We start from the raw sequence: 26637 nt of genomic DNA, 5'->3' as shown, positions 1-26637 counted from the left end.
TGAGGAGCCCTTCCTAATTAATGAACCCACTGTTGGATAAATTTCACCTTTCAGTCTCCTCTCTCCTTTTCTGTGTTCCTCCCTCTGCCTTGATCCATCTCTGCTTTTTTGCTTTCAGAAGATTCTTTTCTTTCTGCCTTTCACTAACTCCCCGTCATCATTTTGAATGTATTTTGCTTACTAGACCCTTTGGAGGAAAGCTCCAATGTATGTGCCAAGTGGCAGAATATTTTCAGCATGATAGCATTTCTATGAAGTTTTGAAAATATGCAAACCAATGTTACATATCATATGAATACATCTGTATGTTGTCCAGGGAGCACCCTGTTCCAAAGTATTCAGTATGTAATCCTCCTGAGAGAAAACATGAGGAAATACTACAAAATGGAAGGCTTTGATATGTCATTCATTAGGCCAAGTTGAAAATTATTTATATGAAAGAATATTATTAAATCCCTAACAGTTAATAGAAAAGAATATGTGTGTGCTTTGCATTTTTAAATAAACAAACTATGTATCTCCAGATGCTCTAAGATCTGATGCAGACCAAACAGAAAATAAGTTGTCATTCCCACTTTTCCTTCCTTCCCTACGTCCATGAATACTCACTGAGTTTCCTCTGAGGGCTGGGCCCTAAGGATACAAAACTGTCATAGAATTTGTCTCTGCCATCCAGCAGCCCATGTCCTAGCTGGGGAGAAGATAACATAACCCGTAAGTACTTGAGATAACTGTGCTAGCTGTGCATACAAGGCACTGAGGCAACATTCCTCAGGGTCTTCTGACATCTGCATGCAGTCAGGCAGATCCCCAGGCCCCGCTTAAATAAAGAACACTAAGGTTCCACAACCACAGCTCTATGTGAATAGAGAAGGGGAATGAACCTCTCTTCCTCTTTGCAAATATAAGTGTATGTATTTATAAAGTTTTTGGAAAACTTATTTAAGAAAGTTATTAGGATATTACACACCCATTCAATCAACAAACATTAAAAAACATCCAACCATACAAATCACTGGTGAGGATCTGGAGCAATGGACACCCTCACAGGCTGCTTATAGCAGTGTCAAGTTGGTACAACAATTTTGGAAAGCAATTTTGCCAATATCTAGTATAGCTGAAGATATACATATACTATGACTCAGCAGTTGCACTTGAGATAGTCTCACAGATGGGTACAAAGACACATGAATAAGAACAGTCTTTGTGTCATTTATAATCATGAAAAAATGGAAACAAGCTGAGTGGCCATCAACAAGATTCAGACTTGAAAAACTAGAATGGTGTGTAGCAGTGAAAGAGAATAAATTGGAACTATATGTACCAACACAGATAAATCTCAGAAACAAGTGGTAGAATATTTTCAGCATGATATAGTAGCATTTCTATGAAGTTTTGAAAACATGCAAACCAATGTTATACATTGTATGAATATATCCATATGTTGTAAAAGTATAACATTAAAAACAACAATGATAAAAGCTAATGAGTGGAACAACTGGAAATCTCATCAACTGCTAGTGGTTGTACAAATTAGCACAACCACTTAGGAAGCTGTTTGGCAGTTTCCAGTAAAAATGAATGCATGCAGATGAATGACCCAGCAATTACACTTCAAGGTATATACTGAACAGAAACACATACATAGATGGTCCACAACTTGGGTACATATTCACAGCAGCATAGTTCACAGTACCCCCAAACATAACCACCCAAATTGTTGGATGACCAGATGAATAAATTGTGGTACATTATACAATAGAATGCTACACAGCAGTAACGTAACTGAACAAACAAGTTTATTAATCTCACAGACATAATATAGAGCAAAGGAGCCCAGATATCAAAAAGCACATACAGTAGGATTCCATTTATATAAGGTTGAAAACAGGCTGAGTGCAGTGGTTCATGCCTGTAATCCCGGCACTTTGGGAGGCTCAGGCAGAAGGATCGCTTGAGGCCAGGAGTCTGAGACCATTCTGAGAAACACAGTGAGAAATCGTCTACAAAAAAAAAAAAATAAATTAAAGTTGAAAACAAAGGCAAAATTGGTTGACAGTGAAAGATATCTGGATGGTGGTTACCTTTGCGGGAAAGATGATGGCTGAAAGGGGGCCCCAAAAGGGCTTCTGAGATACTGATGTTATTATTATTATTAATTATTATTATTATGTTGGTTAGAGACAGTGTCTCCCTCTGTTGCCCAGGCTGAAGTGCAGTAGTGTGATCACAGCTCACTGCAGCCTCGAAATCGTGGGCTTGAGTGATCCTCCCACCTCAGCCTCCCTAGCAGTTGGAACTACAGGCGCATACCACCATGCTTGGCTAATTTTTAAATGTTTTTTTTTTTTTGTAGAGATTAGATCAGGCTATGTTGCCCAGGGTGGTCTTGAATTCCTGGGCACAAACAATCCTCCTGCCTTGGCCTCCCAACGTTCTGGGATTACAGGTGCGAGCCACTGCACCCAGCCCTGGTCATATTCTATTTCTTGATCTTGGTAACAGTTACACAGGGGTATTCATTTTGTGAAAATTTATTGAGGTGTAAACTTATAATCTGAGTTAGCATGCTATACTTTAATAAAAGTTAAAAACAAAACTAAACACTACTTGTAGACAGTGATCAATTCCTAAAGTTGTTTTACAACTTTATATTCCCAGTCAGGGGAATAAGCTAGGCATCTTGATCTTTGTGTCTTTTCAATGTAGATTAATTGGGAAATAATAAAATAGCTGCTATCCTTGAGGACCTGTGTTACTTCTGTTCACAGTGTCCATGTGATGAAGAAAGGGCTCTATCTGATGAAGAAATGTCAGAAGATCTGACTCTTGTTGGCTCTATCACCTATTGACGCTACAATCTTTGATGTGTCAGAGTATTCTCTCTTGCCTTATTTTTGGTCAAATGAGGACTGCAATAATGATTTGTGAAGATTACACAAGATGTATTTATGAACATATTTTGTAAACATTAAGGGGCTACAGATTTGATTTGTTATGATCCAACAAATGTGCAGCGAGATTATATTTATGTCTCATAATGGGCCTAACGTTAGAAAGGGGCCAGGCCTTCAATAATGTTTATCAAAGGATGGAATGAGCCTGTGTTTCAGGATGTGAAATACTCATTCATTTTTTTCTATGTAGATTGGGGAAGGATTATAATATGATTCATTTTTATGTTTGAATTTGTTAGGCTATGGTGCCCAGTTATTTGAGCAAACATGTCTAGATGTTGCTGTGAGGTACTTTTAAGATGAGATTAGCATCTAAATTGTCAGCTTTGAGTAAAACAGATTCCCCTTTATTATGAGGGTGGGCATCACACAATCAGTTGAGGGTCTTAAGAGACTGAGCTCCTCTGAGGAGAAAGAAATTCTGCCTCTAGACTGCCATCGAACTGAAGACTGCAACACCCACTCCTCTCCAGGTCTCCAGGCTGCCCTGCAGATTTTGGACTTGCTAGCTCCCACAATTGCCAGTTCCTTGGAACAGATTTATCTACCTCTCTCTCCTTCTATGTGTGTGTGTGTGGGTGTATATGTATATATACACACACACCCCCACACACACCTATTACACACTGTGTTTGGGTTCTCCAGAGAAACAGAACCAATAGGATGTGTGTGTATATATCTCCTGTTATGTCTACGCACACACACACAGTTCTATTTCTCTGGAGAACCCTAATTAATACAGTGTGCAATAGGAAAAACCTAAAATGTCTTCTCCTACTGTTTATACTCTCAAAGCAACAAAGAGCTAGGTGCAGTGGCTCATGCCTTAATCCTAGCACCTTGGGAGGTCAAGGCAGGAGGATCGTTTGAACCCAGGAGTAAAAGACCAGCCTGGGCAACATAGTAAGATCTAGTCTCTACAATATTTTCTTTAAAAATTAGCTGGACATGGTGATGTGTGCCTTAAGTCCCAGCTAGTTGGTTGGCTGAGTGTCAGGGGGGATCACTTGAGCCCAGGAGGTTCAGGCTGCAGTGAGCTGTGATTGCGCCATTGCACTCCAGCCTGAGTGACAGAGCAAGACCCTGTCTCAAAACAGCAACAACACAGATGTTTCTGGTCACCAAAATGTGTGAGTTTTGGCCACATTAAGCAATTCTCCACTTCTTGGCAGACATTGACTGGGTATCCTACAATTTAATTCAGTTCTGACACTTACTCTAGTCAGCACAGACGCCACAGGTTAAGGGCTCAATCCCATGAGACTGCCCCAAACATCAGATGCCAAGTGCAAATAGTAGGTTCCCAGATTACCCACACCTTTTGTCTGACTTGGTTACAAATCAGAGGTTCCCATGACCCCCCAGGGGTTCAATCATTTGCTAGAATGGCTCACAGAACTCAGAGAACTCTTTACTTTTGTTTACCTGTTATTATAACAGGATGCAATTCATGGCCAGGCATGGTGGCTCACACCTGTAATCCCAGCAATTTCAGAGACTCAGGCTGGAGGATCACATGAGCCCAGGAGATCAAGACCAGCCTAGGCAACATAGTGAGACCCCACCTCTATTTAAAAAAAAAAAAAAAAGGCAGGGGGGATGCAACTCAGGAACAGCCAGATGAAAAAGATGCACAAGGCAATGTATGGGGAAGGGGTTGTGAGCTTTTATGGCCTCTTAGGGGATGCCACCTTCCATGATTTCAGCAACCCGGAAGCTCTCTGAACCCCGTAGTTTGGGGATTTTTATGGAGGCTTAATCATGTAGACATGATCAACAATTAACTCAAATGCAGTCCCTCTTTCCTTCCTGGAGGTTGCAGAGTAGGGCTGAAAGTTCCAAACTTTTAATCATGGGTTGGTCTTTCTGGTGACCACCCCCCTTCCAGAAACCCATGAAGAGTCACCTCATTAGAACAAAAGGTGCTCCTTTAACCCAAGAAACTCCAAGGAATTAAGCTCTGTTTCAGGAACCAGGGTCAAAGACCAAATATTAGAACAAAGAATGCACCTAGCAATTGAGATGCTCAGGAAATTACAAGGGTTTTAGGAGCTGTGTGCCAGGAACTGGGGTCAGACCAAATATATGCTTCTTCTTATTTCACACAGAAGATAGGATGATGAGAGGAAATTTTTAAAGTAACTGTTAGGGGAAAGAGGATCTAGTCCCCATTTTAAATAGGCTTGGGTCAACTGTTTTGTCTGAATTGTATGTGAAAACACAATTTTTCCCCTTATAGTTTCCCTTAATTTTGTATTATTTAAGTGAAAGTGCAGGAGGTTTACCTATTTTTTTAAATGTGCTTTTTATTCTAGTACGTGTGTGTGTATGTGTTTTAATCATAGTTTAAATCATAGTATATGAATTCACATCCTGGTTGTTTTTTTTTCTTCTTTGAGACGGAGTCTCGCTTTGTTGTCCAGGCCGGAAGTGCAGTGGCGCAATCTTGGCTCACTGCAACCTCTGCCTCCCAGGCTCAAGCAATCCTCGTGCCTCAGCTGCCCAAGTACCTGGGACCACAGGTGCATACCACCATGCCTGGCTAATTTTTGTATTTTTAGTAGAGACGGGGTTTTGCCACGTTGGCCAGGCTGGTCTCAAACTTCTGGTCTCAAGTGTTCCTCCCACCTTGGCCTTCCAAAGTGCAGGGATTACAGGCATGAGCCACCACACCCAGCCCCACATCCTGTTTTTATTGTTATATTTATAAGCAAGCAATTTTCTGTGTTGTGACAAACTGTCATAGATATCACTTTTAATGGCTGCATATCCAACCTATTGATATTAACTTATGTACTCATTCCTCTATTGTTTACATTAGATGGTTGTTGATGTTGTTACTGTTATTTAAAATATATAATGCAGCTTGGTGGGTAAAACACGAAATTTGAAAAGCTTTAGACCTGAGTTTGAATCTCAGAAATGCTACTTCTTTTTTTTTTGAGACGGAGTCTCGTTCTGTTGCCCAAGCTGGAGTGCAGTGGCGCGGTCTCAGAGAAATGCTACTTCTTAGCTGTGTGACTTGGGACAAATTACTCAACCGCTTTAATGTGAGATATGGGTGATACTACTTATATTTTATAGGCTGTAACGATTAAGTGAGATAACACATATAAAATGCCTAGTAGAGCACCTGGTACATAGGAGGCATTCAGTAAATGAGAAGTATAAAATTTCCAGTTCACTTTATAAAGTTCATAAGGGCAAGCAATAATTTTATTGTTTCCAACACCTACCATGGTTTATGATGCATAGAACTTAGCATAATACATATTTGCTTTCTTGAGCTTTGCAGAAATTTAGGATTATTTTCTTAAGTGGAATCACTGAGCCAAGGCTTATAGACAGATAAGGCTTTGGAAATGTGTTATAGATTGGTCTCTACCTGGCCAGGGGTGGGTGAAATTGGGCCAGTCGCCAAGGCTGGGCTTGCTGGGGATGGCCTGTTTCAGGAGCATGTTGGGAGTGTGGTAGTTTGGTTTGTGGTGGCTGCTCCTGATTTGGCTGTTCTCAAGTCTCTGGCTTTTGAGAGATATATGAATCTACAATAGCATTTTTGTTGTGATATAATCTCTGAGTACTTACAAAACAATTGCCGAGGTGATATATGATCGTTTCTATGGAAGAGCTTAGGGAGACCAAAGCATCAGGTGAATACACCTTGGTTGCTCCATTCTGAGCCCTTTGGATCCAGCTCTGTCAGCCTGTTCCATACCTGGAAGTGGTATAGCCAGTTAGAAATAATCTCTGTAAAGAGATTAAAGATACTGTCTTTATACAGATTATTGCACATTTATGCTTCTTGACTATGTCAAGGGTTGAAATTCAGTTTAGGCCTTCTACCAAGTAAAGTACCCATCTACCTGAAAGAATCAAATGGCTGTTATATTTAAAGGCAGCATGAGGGAAAAAAGCAGAAGTATGTAAGGCCTCTTTTTCATCATATTTGATAAAAATGAATTAGCAATCTTGATTAGCAAAAAGGCAGGGGATAGATCTCTCTCTCACTCATTTTTTTTTTTTTTTTTTTGAGACAGGGTCTGGCTCTGTTGCCGAGGCTGGAGTGCAGTGGTATGATCTTAACTCAATGCAACCTGCACCTGCCAGGCTCGAGTGATTCTCCAGCCTCAGCCTCCTGAGTAGCTGGGATCACAGGCATGCACTATCATGCTCAGGTAATTAAAAAAAATTTTTGAGAGATGAGGTCTCATTATATTACCCAGGCTGGTCTTGAACTCCTGGGCTCAAGCAATCTTCCTGCCTTGGCCTCCAAAATGCTGGGATTACAGGTCTGAGCCACCATGCCTGGCTGGATATCTCTTTTTTTAATCAATGGGATGAAATAAATAAATTCTCTGAGTTTGCAAGTAGTGCAATAATCACAAATGTTTAGTATTCATAATGGCATATATATATTTAGGTATGAATAATGCTGTTCTGCATATATGCCATTTAAATTAGACAGAGTAAGTTTTGAATTAATTTTCTGGTGTGTAGTAGCTTAAAAGAGAGTGAAGGCTGGTTGTGGTGGCTCATACCTGTAATCCCAGCACTTAGGGAGTCTGACGAAGGAGGATCACTTGAGCCCAGGAGTTCGAGCCGAGGCTGGACAACATAGTGAGACCCTGTCTCTACAAAAAATAAAAAACAAATTAGCAGGGCATGGTGGCGAGCACCTGTGGTCCCAGCTACTTCAGAGGCTGAGGCAGGAGGATCACTTGGCCCAGGAGGTTGAGGCTGCAGTGAGCTGTGATCATGCCACTGCGCTCCAGCCTGGGTGACAGAGTGAGCTCCTGTTTCAAAATAAGAAAGAATGTAAGAATGAAAGAATGAAAGAAAGAAAGGAAGGAAAGAGGGAAAAAGAAAGAGAGAGTGAATACAGTGTACCTTTTGAGAGCTCTGAATATTTTTTAAAAAGTATAATGTCATTTCCTTCCAAAAGAATTTTTTTCCTTTTTAAGTCCAAAAGGTTTTCAAAAGATAAAGATTGCGCATTCTTTACATAGTGTAAAATTAGTTCTTTCAAATCAACTTAATTAAGCTTGAGTAAAGAGATCCTGTCTATGGGACAGTTTGTGGATATGTATTATGTATGTATAAATGTGCAAAAACACTTTACTGGCTATTTATAAAAGACAGAAGGGTCATATGCCCAGTTAGGAAGGGGAGAATATTGTAAAATAAGATTTAAAAACTTTTCTTAGAAAGACGGTTTCAGTATACTTAATTTTTCCTACCCTTTTCTTTCAATAGAGAGTTGTCATCGAAAATAACAAGACTATTCTGGATATGAGTAACACTGAGGAATAAGATACTAAGCCATTAAAGAAGGGTATAAAAATTATGTCTGACACAGGATATGGAGAGAAATATGATGAAGATGAAATATGACAACAGAATCAAGGTAACTGGTATGAATTTGCTCTGTGATATGCAAATACAAGGAATGTCATATTTCATTTTTTTATATCAAATTAAATTTTGCTCAAGACTGCCACCTACCCCGGATAATTAGAAATCTAATCAGTCATTTTGCAGTGCCCCTTCCGTTTCTCTTGAGATTCATCAAAAATATGGCTGGGCATATTGGTTCACACCTGTAATCCCAGTACTTTGGAAGGCTGGGGCAGGAGGATCGCTTGAGCCCAGGAGTTCAAGACCAGCGTGGGTGACATGGCGAGACCCCATCTACAAAAAAAATACAAAAAGTTAGCCGGGTATGGTGGTGTGTACCTGTAGTCTCAGCTACTAGGGAAGCTGAGGTGGGAGGATCATTTGAGCCTGGGAGGTCAAGGCTGTAGTTAACTGTGATCATGCCACTACACTCTAGCCTGGGAGGACCCTGTCCCCTGTCCCCCCAAAATAAGAGATTCATCACAGATAATGCTAGCAAATGTTTACATATCTGCACCAGATAGGTCATAGTATTATTACATTCATTTTTAAATTAAGGACACTATGGTACAGAGAGTAGTTTGCACTAGACTGCCTGGCTAGTAAGGAACCAGGATTTGGACCCAGGCAGTCTGGTTTGGGAGTCTGTGCTCTTAACCACTATAGTATGCTGTACTAGTTTCAGAGTTTATGCATTTCAGCAGTATTCAGACAGGGCTGTTGGTCTCTTTATTCCTAGGCATCATCCCTATGTAGGAGAGTCCAGAACTGTTGCCCCATGATCTGATACCTGGAGTCAGAAAATTGCTGGTCTCTGATCAGATCTGACAGCAGACACATTTTGTCCTATGAGTATAGTACCTTTTAACACTCTGAACTGACAACATTAAAAGATGGAGGTTTCATTAAAAAGTGAAGATTTTCAGTTTTTATTGAAAGATCAGAAGATTTGGGAACAGCACCAGTATTCTTGCTGACCATAAGCTGAAGCTCATCGTCTTCTGCCACTTTACCTGACATGTGTGCTTTCCTTGCTCTCCCTGTTTCTATCCTGAGGCCCTTTACTCTTCTAAGTTACTTGACAGATTCAGTGGTCAGACTTTAAAACAAAACAAAACAAAAAAAACTCTCCTTCCTAACAAAGCCCAGTCTGTCCTTCCAATAAGTAGAAGAAATAACACTTGTTCCTTCACGGTGAGTTAACCACCCAGGCACAATGAATTTTCACTAGCACTGTTATAACTTTTTGCTTCCATAAAGACTGAGATTGGTTTGGTTTCCCCCATCATCTCCCCAGGGACTGGTATTTGAAGCTTTGGCAACCTCTTTGGCCCTTCCCTTGTCTTTGCCTTATAGATCAATCAGTTGCCAAATCCTAGATTCCACCACCAAACCTCTGTGACCACAACCTCCTCTATGTTCACTACAGCCACTTGCAAGACACCAGCTTAATGCAGGCCTTCCTGGCCCCTTTTCTGGACTGTCCTAATACATGGCCTCTTAAGAGGTCTACTGGCTCCCGTTTGTCTTACTCTATTTTCCATTTCCCATTTCCTCTCCTTATTCCCAAGGATGGTCAGATGAATCGAACCTTTTTTTCCCAGTATTTGCCCTGAGTTTTTCTACTTCTGTGATCATCCTTTCTTTTAAATACTCCCTCCACAAACACCCACATATTCAAAATCTACCTCTCTCTTAGTAACCTCAAATTTCACATTCTCCGTCTTTCCATGATCCCAATCAGAAGCAATTTCTCCCCGCTTTTAAAGCACGTAACACATTTACTCTGTGTTTACAAACATTGTCCCTACTTGTCAGTAAATCTTTTGAAAGTAGAGTTAATTTTTGAGTCATTTTATATGCTCACAACTCACAGGATAGTATCTTGCAAGTATTACTAGCAGGTTTTCAATAATTTTTGAAGGAAGGAAGAAAGGAAGACAGGCTAAAGTCTCCTATGAGGTAAAAAAGTATTTAGCCATAGGAAGTTATTTACTTTTTGTTACTGTTTTTTCTTCTCTATAATGTAGAAGAAGAACTGGAATATCATTTCTAAATCTATACTATTCAATTTAAAAATAATATGGCAAAACTAGGCTGGGCATGTTGGCACATGTCTGTAGAACTAGCTATTCCAGAGGCTGAGGTGGGAGGATCACTTGAGCCCAGGAGGTTGAGGCTGCAGTGAGCCATGATTGCACCACTGTATTCCAGCCTGGGCAGCAGAGCAAGCCTCAAAAAATAGTAAATTTAAAAAAATAAAAATAATATGATAAAACTGTTAAAAACCATTATTTCTTTCTTTTAAATTTTTTTTTTATTTCAATAGGTTTTTTGGGAAAAGGTTGTGTTTGGTTACATGAACAAGCTCTTTAGTGGTGGTTTGTGAGATTTTGGTGCACCCATCACCTGAGCACTATACACTGTACTCAATGCGTAGTCTTTTATCCCTCATCCCCCTCCCACCCTTTCCCCTGAATCCCCTGAGTCCCCAAAGTCCCCAAACGTCCATGGTATCATTCTTATGCCTTTGCATCCTCACAGCTTAGCTCCCACTTGTGAGTGAGAACGTACAATGTCTGGTTTTCCATTCTAAGTGAAGTGAGTTACTTCACTTAGAATAACAGTCTCTAATTCTGTCCAGGCTCCTGCAAATGCCATTATTTCATTCCTTTTTATGGCCGAGTAGTATTATATGGTGTGTCTGTGTGTGTGTGTGTGTGTGTGTGTGTGTGTGTGTGTATAAAACATTTTCTTTATCCACTTGTTGATTGATGGGCATTTGGGCTGGTTCCATTTTTTTGCATTTGCGAATTGTGCTGCTATAAACGTGTGTGCAGGTATCTTTTTCATATAATGACTTCTTTTCCTCTGGGTAGATACCCAGGAGTGGGATTGCTGGATCAAATGGTAGATCTACTTTTAGTTCTTTAAGGAATCTCCACACTGTTTTCCATAGTGGTTGTACTAGTTTTCATTCCCACCAACAATGTAAAAGTGTTTCCTTTTCACCACATCCACACTAACATCTATTATTTTTTGATTTTTTGATTATGGCCATTCTTGCAGGAGTGAGGTGGTATTGCATTGTGGTTTTGATTTGCATTTTCCTGATGGTTTTGATTTGCATTTTCCTGATAAGTAGTATATTAGTCCGTTCTCATGCTGCTATAGAGAACTGCCCTAGGCGGGGTGTGGTGGCTCACGCCTGTAATCCCAGCACTTTGGGAGGCCGAGGCAGGAGGATCACGAGGTCAGGAGATCGAGACCATCCTGGCTAACACGGTGAAACCCCGTCTCTATTAAAAATACAAAAAAATTAGCAGGGCATGATGGTGGGTGCCTGTAGTCCCAGCTACTCGGGAGGCTGAGGCAGGAGAACGGCATGAACCCAGGAGGCAGAGCTTAAAGTGAGCCGAGATCGCGCCACTGCACTGCAACCTGGACGACAGAGCGACAAACTCCGTCTCAAAAAAAAAAAAAAAAGAACTGCCTGAGACTGGGCAATTTATAAAGGAAGGAAGTTTAGTTGACTCACAGTTCTGCATGGCTAGGAAGAACTCAGGAAACTTTCCATCATGGTGGAAGGGGAGGCAAACATGTCCTTTTCCACAAGGTTGCAAGAGAGAGAAGTACCAAGCAAAGGGAGAAAAGCCCCTTTTAAAACCATCAGATCTTGTGAGAACTCACTATCATGAGAACAGCATGGGGGTAACCACCCCCATGATTCACTTATCTCCCACTGGGTCCCTCCCAAGACACGCGGGGATTATGGGAACTACAATTCAAGATGAAATTTGGGTGGGACCAGGCACAGTGGCTCTCGCCTGTAATCCCAGCACTTTGGGAGGCAGGCAGATCATCTGAGGTCAGGAGTTTGAGATCAGCCTGGCCAACATGGTGAAACCGCGTCTGTACTAAAAATACAAAAATTAGCTCAGCGTGGTTATGCATGCCTATAGTTCCAGCTACTCAGCAGGCTGAGGCAGGAAAATCACTAGAACCTGGGAAGCGGAGGTTGCAGTGAGCCAAGATTGTGCCATTGCACTCCAGCCTGGGCGACAGAGTGAGAGTCCATCTCAAAAAAAAAAAAAAAAAAAAAAAAAAAAGAACAAAAGAAATTTGGGTGGGGACACAGCCAAACCATATCAAGTAGTGATGTTGAGCATTTTTTCATGTTTGTTGGCCATTTGTATATCTTCTTTTGAGAATTGCCTATTCATGTCCTTAGCCCACTTTTTGATGGGATTGTTTGTTTTGTTCTTGCTGATTTGTTTGTGTTCCTTGTAGATTCTGGGTATTAGTCATTTGTCGGATGTATAGATTATGAATGTTTTCCTCCCACTCCATGGGTTGTCTGTTTACTCTGCTGATTATTTCTTTTGCTGTGCAGGAGCTTTTTTAAATTTAATTAAGTCCCATCTATTTATCTTTTTGTTGCATTTGCTTTTGGGTTCTTGGTCATGAAGTCTTTGACTAAACCAGTGTCTAGAAGGGTTTCTCCAAAGTTTGTTCTATAATTTTTGTGGTTTCAAGTCTTAGATTTAAGTCTGTAATCCATCTTGAGTTTTGTATAGGGTGAGATATGAGAATCCAGTTTCATTCTTTTACATGCGGCTTGCCAATTATCCCAGCATCATTTGTTGAATAGGGTGTCTTCCTCATTTTATGTTTTTGTTTGCTTTGTCAGAGATCAGTTGACTATAAATATTTGGCTTTATTTATGGGTTCTCCATTCTGTTCCATTGGTCTATGTGCCTATTTTTATACCAGTACTATGCTGTTTTGGTGACTATGGCCTTGTAATATAGTTTGAAGTCAAGTAATGTAATGCCTCCAGATTTGTTCTTTTTGCTTAATCTTGATTTGGCTATATGAGCTCTTTTTTGGTTCCATATGAATTTTAGGATTGTTTCTTCTAGTTCTGTGAAGAATGGTGGTGGTATTTTGATAGGTATTGCATTTAGTTTGTAGATTGCTTTTGGCAGTATGGTCATTTTCACAATATTGATTCTACTCATCCATAAGCATGGGATGTGTTTCCATTTGTTTGTGTCACCTATGATTTATTTCAGCAGTGTTTTGTAATTTTCCTCGTAATGGCCTTTCACCTCCTTTCACTTAGGTTAAGCATATTCCTAAGGTTTTGTTTTGTTTTGTTTTTGGCAACAATTGTAAAAGGGGTTGAGTTCTTGATTTGATTCTCAGCTTGGTCGCTGTTGGTGTATAGCAGAGCTACTGATTTGTGTATGTTAATTTTGTATCCTGAAACTTTGCTGAATTCATTTACCAGTTCTAGGAGATTGTTGGATGTCTTCAGGGTTTTCTAGGTATAAGACCATGTCATCAGCAAACAGTGACAGTTTGACTTCCTCATTACCAATTTGGATGCCTTTTATTTCTTTCTCTTTTCTGATTGCTCTGGCTAGGACTTCTAGTACTATGTTGAACACAAGTGGTGAAAGAGGGCATCCTTGTCTTGTTCCAGTTATCAGGGGCAATACCTTCAACTTTTCCCCAGTTGGTATAATGTTAGCTGTGGGTTTGTCATAGATGGCTTTTACTACCTTAAGGTATGTCTCTTATATGCCAGTTTTGCTAAGGGTTTTAATCATGAAGGGATGCTGGATTTGTGAAATGCTTTTTCTGCATCTCTTGAGATAATCATGTGATTTTTGTTTTTAAGTCTGTTTATGTGGTGTATCACATTTATTGACTTACAGATGTTAAACCATCCCTTTATTCCTGTTATGAAACCCATTTGATCATGGTGGATTATCTTCTTGATATGTCATTTGATTTGGTAAACTAGTATTTTGTTGAGGATTTTTGTATCTATGTTCATCAGGGATATTGGTCTGCAGTTTTCTTTCTTTGTTATATCCTTTCTTCATTTTGATATTAGGGTGATACTGTCTTCATAGAATGATTTAGGGAGGATTCCCTCTTTCTCCATATTTTCTTTTTTTTTTTTTTTTTTTGGTGAGGGCAGCAGGGAGACAGGGTCTTGCTCAGTTGCCCAGGCTGGAGTGCAATGGTGTGATCACAGCTCATTGAAGCCTCAACCTCCAGGGCTCAAGCAGTCCTCCTGCCTCAGTTTCCTAAGTAGCTAGGACTACAGGAGTGTGCCCCCACACCTGGCTAATTTTAACATTTTTTGTAGAGACAGGGGTCTTGCTATGTTGCTGAGGCTGGCCTCAAACTCCTGGCCTCAAGTGATCCTCCCACCTCAGTTTCCCAAAGCACTGAGATTACAGGTGTGAGCCACTGTGCATGGCCAGTGTTTTCTTACTTTATGATATTCATCTCTGACCTAGCTTCAGAGTCACTACCAACTTCCATAGAATCCTGTAAAACAAATGGGTTACTAAAGCACATCACCTTCAAACATGGGTGTCTGAGACAGAACACCTGAAATTTATGACAAGAGTGCATTATGTTTACTTACTTGCCATCTGATTTCATTGCTGAGGTTGGGCAAGTGAGCTGTTTTGGAAATATGCTGTGACTCTGGCTTAACCTCACAGTGAATGCCACCTTGCAACGAAACTGGGGCAGGTGGTCCTGAGGGAGGGTGGTGCTGTGGGTGGTATACCAGAGCTCATGTCAGAAACTGAGCTCAGGTCCTGGCACTGCCACCAACCAACGAGTGGTCTGGATAAGTTTATACGTCTCTTTGCCTTTAAGTGAAGAAAACTGTGCTTTATCTCTAAAGTTCTTTTCAGTTTCAACATCTGTGAATCAAGCTGTTAGATTGAAATTTTCAGTGCATAGAATCAGCAAATGTCCCCAGAAAGCCATTGATATGAGCAGTCTGAAGATAAATGAGAATTCTGAAAATTGTATTTTAAAGTGGCTCCTAATGAGTCCCTGGAAATTTGCACATTGACATAGTAGTGTATCTTCATACAAATGTCATATATTAGCATTTTTGTTGTAATTCCCAGAATTGCTTCCCAAAGATACTGGGGTTGGTTTTTAGGCATTTCCTTAAGTATACCAACTTGCTGCCAAATTCTCTGTTCTCCTCCTACTCTTAGCTCCAAGGATAACACATAAAAATTGAATTACTGCTACCGTTTCTTCTAATAGTAACAACTAAATGCTATGCTACTGCATATTTATGTCTTCTATAAAGCTATTTGTAGACACTATTGCAAATAATAAAATATAATGAGATGCACATTGGATGATAAAATTAACGCTCTTGGTTGTTTGGTATTTACGGAGAGAAATAAATAGAGATTGAGCTAAAGGTTATCCCCAGCAGGCAAGAAAAAGGTCACAAGTTTATGCATAGCAATACACTTTTGAAAGTGGTTTCTGTGAGACACATGGCTAGTTAGAATTGTCTTTCTTTGCTGTTGTATAGTAGGTACAGTAAAACTTTTCTTTTTAATTTATTTAAAAATATGTAAAACCCAGTCTGGCCTCTTAACAGAATTGCCTAATAAAATTGCAGACATAAATAATTATATTGAGGGATGGAAGCTAGAAGGGGTGATTGAATAAGATGAAAGAATGAGCAACTGAGCCGAGCAACTGAAGAAGCTCATTTTCAGGGGATAGAGTTGCAGAAAAAACACTTTAACAGTTTCTCTTTTGATTATTTGAAATAAACATGGCATATTTAATAAAGAAGTATAAAGCACAAATGGTAATCCTGTAAAAGATGGCAGAAAACAGTAATAGTTGTGATCCTTATAGTTAGAGATTTTTCAGATTTGAAGATCATGTAAACATTCCTTTGGGGAATTTCAAAATTAGAATGCATATCGAATATCATTAGGCACGTGCTCAAGTGCTAAGTGGTACAGTTATATCTAGAACAGCAAGATGGTACTGTGATAATTAAAGAGAAGAAATTGCTCAAAAAATTATTATCAAAAGTGAAAACTTAAAAAATGTGTATGCCCCTCGATCCAGAAGCTTCACAACCAAGAATGTATCCTAAGAAAATATAAATACTGGGCCGGGTGCGGTGGCTCACGCCTGTAATCCCAGCACTTTGGGAGGCTGAGGCAGGCGGATCACGAGGTCAGGAGATCGAGACCATCCTGGCTAACGCAGTGAAACCCCATCTCTACTAAAAATACAAAAAATCAGCTGGGCATGGTGGTGGGCACCTGTAGTCCCAGCTACTCGGGAGGCTGAGGCAGGAGAATGGCGTGAACACGGGAGGTGGAGCTTGCAGTGAGCAGAGATCGCGCCACTGCACTCCAGCCTGGGAGACAGAACGAGGCTCTGCCTCAAAAAAAAAAAGAAAAGAAAAGAAAATATAAATACAAATAATGCTTTTCTTTGACTCTGTTTACTCCAGTTTTACATATTTTTTTTTGAAAAAAAAAATAACTAAAAACAATCCACATCAATAAGGGACTGTTTACACCAATTGTGGCACACCCATACCATGGAAGGACATCTTAATGATTTGGGATAGTGGTGGGAGCTGCTTATTGCAGGAAGCGGAGGAGGAAGATGATGAACATTTTGACTTTCTTGTACTCTGGAAAATTTTCAAATAAATGAAGTTGATTTTAGCAATCTTCTAACTTTACTTTCTCCTCTTCTCTCTCTTGGAATCTCTTTGGGGTTCCAAAATTCTCAAGCTAACCCAGTCATTATAACATCTTTACTTTACAAAGTAATTTGAACTGCTCTCTCCTAAACTGTTTATGATCTTTACAACTTTTTCCCTCCCTTCACTAATAAATCCATAGAATCTCTAAAAAGATTCAGGGGTTTTGTTTGTGGTTTTTTGACAACCACAGGCACTGCGGCAGTGCTGGGGACATCAGTGAAGGGTATGGGCTATGGTTTGCTAAAAAGGGGTAATCTATAAATTGACAGTCTGAAGTCAGTGATCGCCTGCAGCATTTTTCATAGAACCAGATCACAAATATTCTCTGCATTAGCAGAAGTAAATGACTGGCTTTTTTTTTTTTTTTTTTTTTTGATGGCAAATGGTGCCTCTCCTATACCAGCAACACAAATTCTATGTAGTTAGAAGTAGAAAAGGGCATCAAACACACAGGGTTGTTTGTTAATGTGTTTCCAGTTTCTGAAAAGACCGTAATGACTTAGTTATGTCTGGTTACATTTTCTTTTAACTTTCAAAGCACTTTTCCATCTCCTTTCGTTGTTTCCTTATAATCACCCGTACAGAAGGTAGGGAAGGTACTATTGCTCCCATTTGAGAAATGATGAAACTGAGACACAAAGAGTTAATTGCAAGGTAGTAATAGGACCCAGGATGACTGACTGTGCCAGACATTTTGTCTTGTAGATCACAAGCAAGAGACCCCCTGGTGGCCAGTAAATTATTATTGTAGAAGCTAAGCATAATTTGAAACCATTTCCAGGAACTTAGACTGGGCTTGGAGTTTCAAAGTTCCATTAAAAAAAAAAAAAGAAGAAAAAAAAGGCAGGGCGAGGTGGCTCACGCCTGTAATCCCAGCACTTTGGGAGGCCGAGGTGGGAAGATCACGAGGTCAGGAGATTGAGACCATCCTGGCTAACACAGTGAAACCCCATCTCTAATAAAAATACAAAAAATTAGCCAGGCGTGGTGGTGGGCACCTGTAGTCCCAGCTACTCGGGAGGCTGAGGCAGGAGAATGGCGTGAACCCGGGAGACAGAGCTTGCAGTGAGCCGAGATCGCACCACTGTACTCCAGCCTGGGCAAGAGAGAGAGACTCTGTCAAAAAAAACGAAAAACAAAAAAACAAACAACAACAACAACAACAACAAAAATCAAAACAGCTGTTTGTCCTTGATAGGAGTGGAGATTTTTATATGCTGAGATAATAATAGACCGGTGATTTTTAACCAAAGTCAATTTTGCTCCCCACCCCTAATCTCATCCCTCTTCCCAAAGGCATTTTTGGTTATTGCAAATGGGAGGGAGTATTTTATTTTTCTTTCTTTCTTTCTTTTTTTTTTTTTTTTTTTTTGAGACAGAGTCTTGCTCAGTCACCCAGGCTGGAGTGCAATGGCATGATCATAGCTCACTACAGCCTTGATTTCTTGGGCCCAAGTGATCCTCTGGCCTCAGCCTGCTGAGTAGCTGGGACTACAAGTGTGAGCCACCATGCCTGGTTAATATTTTAACATTTTTAGTAGAGACAAGATCTCGCTATGTTGAACTCCTGAGCTCACGGGATCCTTCTGCCTTAGCTTCCCAAAGTGCTGGAATTACAGGTGCGAGCCACTGTGCCTGGCCTTTTGTTTGGGGGGGTGGGGAGGATTTGGGGAAGGGTGTATTACTGGAGTATTACTGGCATCTAGTGAGTAGCAGCTGGTGATCCCGCTAAACATCCTAGAATGCACAAGACAGCCCCCATAACAAAGACTATCCAGCTCATAGTTTTAATTGTTCTGAGGTTGAGGAACCCCTGCTTTAGACTGTCTCTTTGCCTTGGTTAATGGTGCTTGGCATGTTATCAGTTTGCCCTATGATTAGTCTCTGCCATCGAAACCACTGGGCAAGACATTTTAAAAGGGAGTTCAATAATGTGCCATCTTTTACCCCACATTTGCTGCTTTCTCTTAATTCTTCATCCCTTCTCTCAATCCTTTCCCCAGTTGTCATCATCCCTACTTCTCCAGCCAGCATTTGGCTTAATTCATGTACCTGTGTTTCTCTCTTTTTCCTCTTTGACATCAAATTGACATGGTTCAGTTCCACTGTGGTCTCTTTTTCTTGCTCTCTTAGAGAAAACACTGAACTTCGTGGACATTGGGTGATGGGTGGAGGTGCAGGCCCTGCAGGTGCCCCCAGGAATGTCGGTTGGGCCTCTCTGGGAGACTGCTTATCTGCCAGCTTCTATTATTAATTTTGGAAGAATGCTTGGGTGGAGGAGGCAGAGGCCTTCCCTTAGTGCCTTAGAGGAAACTCACAGGTGAATTTTCCTAGAAGTTAACTCTACTTCTGAAAGGAGGGTGAACAATTATACTCCATACTCACCTACAAGTTGTAACTCTTATTTGTGTAATAGCAATAAACCCTGTGGATAGTAGTCTCTGGCCATGCAGATATTTTCAGTTTGTTTTTAGACAATGGCAGAGTTGAATTTACTAAGAGGAACACTTAGAGTATTAGAGGGGCTTTCTGATTTTTTTGAGGGGGGCGGTTACAGAGGACCAGGTAATTTTGGATTTTATTTTCCAGAAGAATGCTGACATGGATGAGAAGCATTACTTTTATCTCACTGATAAAGGTTAGAACTTTCATACTCTAAGCAATTGATTTCTTGAAGACGACTGGACTAAACCAGTCTAATTAGGTTTTTTTCTGAGCTAGGTAAAATGTGTTAGTCATTATCTAGATCAGCAATTCTCAAAGTGTGGTTCACAGACCCCTGGGTGCTCCTCCTGAGATTTCTTCAGAAAGTCTGCAAGGTCCAAACTCTTTTTATAATAATATTAAGATGTTATTTGCCCTCTCCCCACCCCTTGTGCCACTTCTCTCTAATTTTGCACTGATGATGCAGAAGCAATGGTGATGCGAACTTTGGGTGCCTTGGCACAAATCAAGGCAGTGGCTTTAAAGTACACTAATTGTCTTTGTGTTCTTCACCTCCATGCACTCACAGTAAAAAGAAAAGCCGGTTTCACTGAAGAAGGTCCTTGTCAAAGTAGTAAAAAGTATTAATTAAATCTTGACCCTTGAGTGCCCATTTTTTAACATTCTGTGTGATAAAATGGAAAGTACACAGAAAGCATTGTTGCTGCATACTGAAGTACAAAAGTGATTGTCTTCAGCAAATCATTTATGCAATTATTTGAGCTGCAAGCCAAACTAGCCCCCACCCCCCCCCCTTTTTTTTTGTAGAGCACCATTTTTCACTTGAAAGAGCGACTGGCAGACAAACTGTGGTTATTCAAACTTGGGTATTCAGCAGAACTTTAATCAAAAACATATGAAGTAAACCTGTCATTTTGAGGAAAGAAAAACTGACAGTAGTTTATTAAAGATAAAATTTGGGTTTTCAACTAAAATTTTGAATTTTGGAAGACCTGTATTCACCACTGTGAGTATGACAGTTTCCTAGTACTAAAAGACTTTTCTGATGCAAGAAATGATGATATGATTAATATGATTTTAAAATATCATCTAAGGAAATGTGTCAAGCTTGGGAAGATATCAATAAGTCTATGTACTGATATTTTCAATATGATGTTACTAGATGATGCATGGGTGAAAGATCCATTCAGAGTGCAAGACAGACCAATGGATTTTAATGTAGCAGGGTAGGAAATGTTCATCGATATACTTTCAGATTCCACACTGCAAATCACCTTTAAGAAACTACTACTTATTGAGTTTTGATATGGTACCAAATAGTAATATCCACAATCATCTTAAAAAATCATTAAAATATTCTTCCCATTTCCAACCACATATCTGCTTAAGGCCAAATTTTCTTCATATACTTCAACCAAAACAACAGATTTCAACAGATTGAATGCAGAAGTAGATATGAGAATCCAACTGTCTTATATTAAGCTAGACTTTAAGGAAATTTGCAAAAATGTAAAATAATACTTCTTTTCTTACTAATTATTTATTGTTTCAGCAATAGCTATTTCTCATAAAAATGTGATTTATGTTAACATGCAGTGGGTTTATTAATGTTATTTTAAAATAAATATTTAAAATCTATTTTAACTTATAGCACAGTAAATATTAATAGCTAAAATCCACAGCACGGAAGAGTGTAAAGGGATCTTGAGATGAAAAGTCTGAGAATTATTGATCTAGAAGAATATAAATTACAATATGGGGCCAGGTGTGGGGCTCACGCCTGTAATCCCAGCACTTTGGGAGGCCAAGACAGGCTAATCACTTGAGGTCAGGAGTTCAAGATCAGCCTGGCCAACATGGTGAAATCCTATCTCTACAAAAAATACAAAAAAATTAGCTCGGTGTGGTGGCATATGCCTGTAATCCCAGCTACTTGGGAGGCTGAGGCACAAGAATCACTTGAACCCGGGAGGTGGAGGTGGTAGTGAGCTGAGATCGTGCAACTGCACTCCAGTCTGGGTAACAGAACAAGACTCTATCTTAAAAAAAAAAAAAAAAAATTGCAATATGGTTACTGCAAAGTTGATCCCTTCAAAGCAAACATGTGCTATTCCCTTTCATTGTTTAAAAACATTAATGACTCCATTTCGATGGTGCTTTGTACTTTCCAAAGTGTTTTTACATGCATCAACAATTTAATCCTTTGAGCAATCCTGCAGGTCAGGTATCATATTCTTTATCTTATACTGAAGAAAATTGAGATTCAGAGCAATCATCAAGCAGCTTATTTTACGTCAGAGAGCCAGTGACAGAGCTGGACATTAACCCTAGATTTTCCAATTTCCAATTTCATTATATTTTTGTAATACTAATTTATAGGTTCAGAAACTATTAGAAATAATTTAGTATATGAACAGTGTACATTATAAACAATTTTAAAGGGTTTATTAAATTACTGTACTTTTGGGTAACAAACATTAAACTCAAATATACATAGATAATCTTATTGGGTTTGGGTTATGTTCTTTATGTTGAACATGCAAATTATTTCAAATTCTGAATGAGTAATGTCTAAATGAGTGTTTTCATATACCTACTTCTGTTCATTGTATGACATTGAACTATATGAAATGGCCAATATTCTCACATTTTTGACTTATAAAAATGACAATTTCATATGGCTCAACATAATACAATTTTACAAACGCAGAAAAGATTAATAAGGCCTTGTAAAGTAGGCTTTATTTATTTATTTATTTATTTATTTATTTATTTATTTTTGAGATGGAGTCTTGCTGTTACCCAGGCTGGAGTGCAGTGGCACGATCTTGGCTCACTGCAACCTCCGCTTCCCGGGTTCAAGCGACTCTCCTGCTTCAGCCTCCTGAGTAGCTGGGATTACAGGTGCCTGCACCATGCCCGGATAATTTTTGTATTTTTAGTAGAGACAGGGTTTCACCATGTTGGCCAGGCTGGTCTCAAACTCCTGACCTCAAGTGATTCGCCTGCCTAGGCCTCCCAAAGTGCTGGGATTACAGGTGTGAGCCACCACGCCCAGCCAAATTAGGCTAAATTTATATAAAGAGAGCATTAAAAAGAATAAACTGAAAAATAAGAGTTTATGTACAAACCCCAGCCCTCAGTCCCACATCCCAGTTGTCTAAGGTAACCTACTATCAAAACAATTTCCTGTGTGTCCTTCCAGGAACTGCCCATGCATATACAATCAAACATGTAGCTATTAAAACATACACACACACACACACACACACACACACAAACACACACACACACACACACACAAATGGGTTCATACTAACAAACTACTTTGCCAATTGCTTTTTTCACTTGATATTTTGGGATATCATTCCTTCCAATTCATGTAGTTCTATTCTTTTTAAAAATTTCTATTAGTCTATTGGAGAATGTACCATAATTTACTATTGAATTTAAAAGAAATTATTGAAGCATGACATCCACATTGTAAAATGAACTAATCTTAAAGTTTATTTTCCATATGCGTATATACATGTTTATGCACACTACCTTCTACATGAGTGTGTATAACTGTGTAACCACCATCCAAATCAAGTATAGAGTAGTTCCAGCATCCCACAAGGCCCTATCAAGCCCTGTCTCAGTCAATAATACTTCCCTAACCCAGTAACCATTGTTCTAATTTTTATCACCATAGATTAGTTTTGCATGTTTTTTTTTTATTATCTAGCCATCCAGAAGCAGTTTTGCATGTTTTTAAACTTCATATAAATGGAATCATACTGCATCCTTTGCGTGTGTGTGTATGTGTGTACCTTGTTTCTTTTGTTCAACGTGGGTTCTCTAGGGTTGAGTTATATTAGCGTGTGTAGTGGTTTGCTCTTTTTATTGCAAACCATTTTTATAGTATTCCCTTACATGAATTAATCCATTCTACTCTTGATGAAAAATTTTTTTTTTATTTTATAAGTTTTAGATATTATAATAAAGCTGCCATGAGCACTTTTACATGTCTTTTGGTGGATATCCATTAATTTTCTTAGGTATGTTCTTACTTGATCTCATTTTGGTTTAAATGTGTTAATATGCCTACAAAGGCAGCCCTTCATAGAGGTAGTATAACACATTCATCACACTAGCAAATAGCAGTAGAAGGCAGATGGGATAAAACACAGAGATTATGAGTGCAATTTTAAGAAAGCTTTTAGTTATAGAAATGTAAAGAAAATGTGGTATAAATAAAAGCAAATGCTCTAGTAAAATGCTATTTATGTAAGCTGGATATTGGCATGCCAGTGGATTCTGATATGAAAAAACTCCCGTAGAATGCTGAATAAAGAAGACATCCTATGAGAGTAGAACCGATGGCTTTTTCAGGCTACAGATATCAACCAGTAACATACTCAACTTATCTCTGTAATTTTGCTTGCATTCTTTCCAGCATATGCTTACTGGCTTATTTGGGGTACAATGTTTACAAACACATATAATATAACACATGCATTCGAAATGGAAAATTAAAGCTATTAATTTATATTATTAATCTAATTTGATACCCTATCACTTTCATATAAGTGATTCCTTAAAAAGGAAAGTTATGTTAGGGAAAAATTCATATGTTTAGTTAATCACATAATTTAACAAAGTCTCAATTAACTGGAATTTTACATTATAATTAATTTGACTCATTGTTAACTAAAGATTAACCAGAAAACTCTATTTCTCACTCATGAACATTTTTAAGTAAGTTATTGTACTTTCACAGTCTCGGTATTTTTGTATAGAAATCCAACATATTCTTTAATGATTTAAGAATGTTTGTGTAGGCCTGGCGCATTGGCTCACACCTGTAATCCCAGCACTTTGGGAGGCCAAGGCTGATGGATCACCTGAGGTCAGGAGTTTGAGACCAACCTCACCAACATGGTGAAACCCCATCTCTGCTAAAAATACAAAAATTAGCTGGGTGTCGTGGCAGGCACCTGTAATCCCAGCTACTTGGGAGGCTGAGGCAGGAGAACTGCTTGAACCCGGGAGGCGGAGGTTGCAGTGAGCCGAGATCAAGTGCCACTGCACTCCAGCCTGGGCAACAGAGTGAAACTCTGTCTCAAAAAAAAAAAAAAAAAGAATGTTTGTGTTATCATTTTAAATATGAATAATTGTTGCCAAAGTGCTGTAGTTGGTCTGGGATGACTCTAGATGTTTCTTTTGAAAATAAATTTCTGTTATGTGTTTTCTTTTTTCTTTTCTTTTCTTTCTTTTTTTTTTTTTAAGACATGGTCTTGCTCTATTGCCCAGTCTGGAGTACAGCCATCATGGTGCCACTCCTGAGTTCAAGGAATCCTCCTGCCTCAGCCTCCTGAGGCACTGGGACTACAGGTACACACCACTACACCTGGCTAATTTTTAAATTTTTTTGAGGAGAGAGGGTCTCACTTTGTTGCCCAGGTTTGTCTTGAAATCCTGGCCTCAAGTAATCTTCCCACCTTGGTCGCCCAAAGTGCTGAGAGGACAGGTGTGAGCCACTGCGCTTGGCCTGCTTTCAGTTTTGTTGCCCTCTGTTCACCACAGAACAGTCAGAGTAACTTTTTTTTTTTTGAGACTGTCTCCCCCTGTTGCCCAGGCTGGAGTACAGTGCCCAGTCTCCGCTCACTGTAACCTCTGCCTCCCAGGTTCAAGCAATTCTCCTGCCTCAACTTCCCAAGTAGGTGGGACTACAGGCGCCCACCACCACGCCCGGCTGATTTTTGTATTTTCAGTGGAGACGGGGTTTTACCATGTTGTCCAGGCTGGTCGGGAACTGCTGACCTCAGGTGATCCACCCACCTTGGCCTCCCAGAGTGCAGGCATTACAGGTGTGAGCCACTGCGTCGGGCCCAGAATAACTAAAACATAATTCAGTGTTATTCTCCTGCTTACAACCCTTACCATTATGCTTGAAAAAAAAAGTCAACTCATTACTATGGCCTGCTAGTCCTAAATGACGTTGCATCTGCTAGCCTCTCCCCCACCATCTGGTGTCATTAAGTTCCAGCTACATGGCCTCCTTTTAATTCTGTGAACATGCCAAGCAAGCCCTTTCTACTTTACCACTTCCCACACGCAGTCTCCTCTGTTTAGGAAACTCCCTACCACCTCACACAATTTACTGCTTCTCAGCATTCTACTCTCCACTTAAATGTAACCTCCTTGCGAAGGCTTTCCCGCCTCACCTAAGAAGCCCACTATCTTCTATTCCCATCTTCTATTTTTTTAAAATATAATTTACCAAAATTATAATTATATGCTTGTTTTATTATCTTCTTTGCTGTGTCAGGAATTGGTTCAACTGCTGAAAAATATACAGTGGCTAAAAATGATAGTTCATTTTTCTCTCATATAAACGAAGTTTAGAGGCAGGTAGATCAAGGTTAGTATGGTAGCTCCATGGTCATAAGAGACCTAGGCTTCTTCCCTCTAGCTATTCCACCAAATTAAGCATATGGCTTCCACCTCACAGTCCAAAATGGTTGCCCCAGTTCCAGCCATCATGCTTGTATTCCATACAGCTGGAGTCAGGAAGGCAAATACAGTTTTTATTCAAAGTAATTGAGATTTTATACACACTGTTAAAAATTGAGGGTTCCTTAGTGAAATTATTGAATCAGGCAAGGATTTTCAATTGATGTTAAAATGACCAGGTAGATGGCTAATGATAAAGGACATTCATAAGGTGCCAAACAAAGCAAAACAAAACCTCTGCACAGATTACTTCTGTCCATGAAAGAACAAAGCTTTACAGTGAAAAAGTCAGGCTGTCATCACCTCAATCCAGGGGTCAGATATTCTGTGTCTCCTGATGTGATGTGATTTGAAGTACACAGTACTACTTGCGACACAATCTTGCCAAAAATGTTCAAATTTGAGTCTAATTGGGCCTTAATTTTGAAATGGGAAAGATTCCCTTGTCCCCCTCTCAGGGCATGCGATAGGAGTGTGGCTCCCCTCTTCAGTGCCCCGCTGCTCAAACCTCTAGGGGAGCACACAGACGCGCAGGCTGTGGGGCTCTGACCCCACGGCAGTGTCTAGGGGTGAATGTTTACAACTGAAGCCCCAGTGGGCGTGTTACGGGTGTTCTTTTAGTTTAGCCATCTGTAGGCGGCTTGTGTTAGTCAGCTCAATTAGACCCCTGCCTTATTGCAAGGACAGAGGGCTTTCTGTATCTCGGGGTTCCTGCCTTGGTGTACCGGAAGAATTGGATCTCATGTGGGTTTGGAGAATGAG

The 26637-nt window shown here is 39.8% G+C and overlaps 1 protein-coding gene and 1 long non-coding RNA gene across 3 annotated transcripts in view; one reads left to right on the top strand and one right to left on the bottom strand.

The window, feature by feature from the left end:
* RTN4 (reticulon 4) overlaps nt 1-26637 on the top strand; it is a 165643-nt gene that overhangs the window by 48982 nt on the left and 90024 nt on the right. The window contains exon 2 of the mRNA NM_001321904.2: nt 8211-8361. The gene's annotated coding sequence lies outside the window, so the exon portion shown is untranslated. The remainder of the gene's footprint in view (nt 1-8210; nt 8362-26637) is intronic.
* LOC105374662 (uncharacterized) lies at nt 1778-8645 on the bottom strand. Of its 2 annotated transcripts, none has more exons than XR_002959387.2 (3): nt 8555-8645; nt 6543-6672; nt 1778-2003 (listed from the first exon to the last, which is right to left on the bottom strand). It is a non-coding gene; the product is annotated as an uncharacterized LOC105374662 (long non-coding RNA). The 2 variants fall into 2 exon arrangements; XR_940105.1 differs by having other exon boundaries at nt 1967-2003; nt 8460-8620.

The sequence above is a fragment of the Homo sapiens genome, chromosome 2 (genome assembly GCF_000001405.40).
Source record: "Homo sapiens chromosome 2, GRCh38.p14 Primary Assembly".
Taxonomy (NCBI): Eukaryota; Metazoa; Chordata; class Mammalia; order Primates; family Hominidae; genus Homo; species Homo sapiens.
Note: the sequence above shows the minus strand (reverse complement) of the source record. Positions and strands in the feature narration are given on the sequence as shown.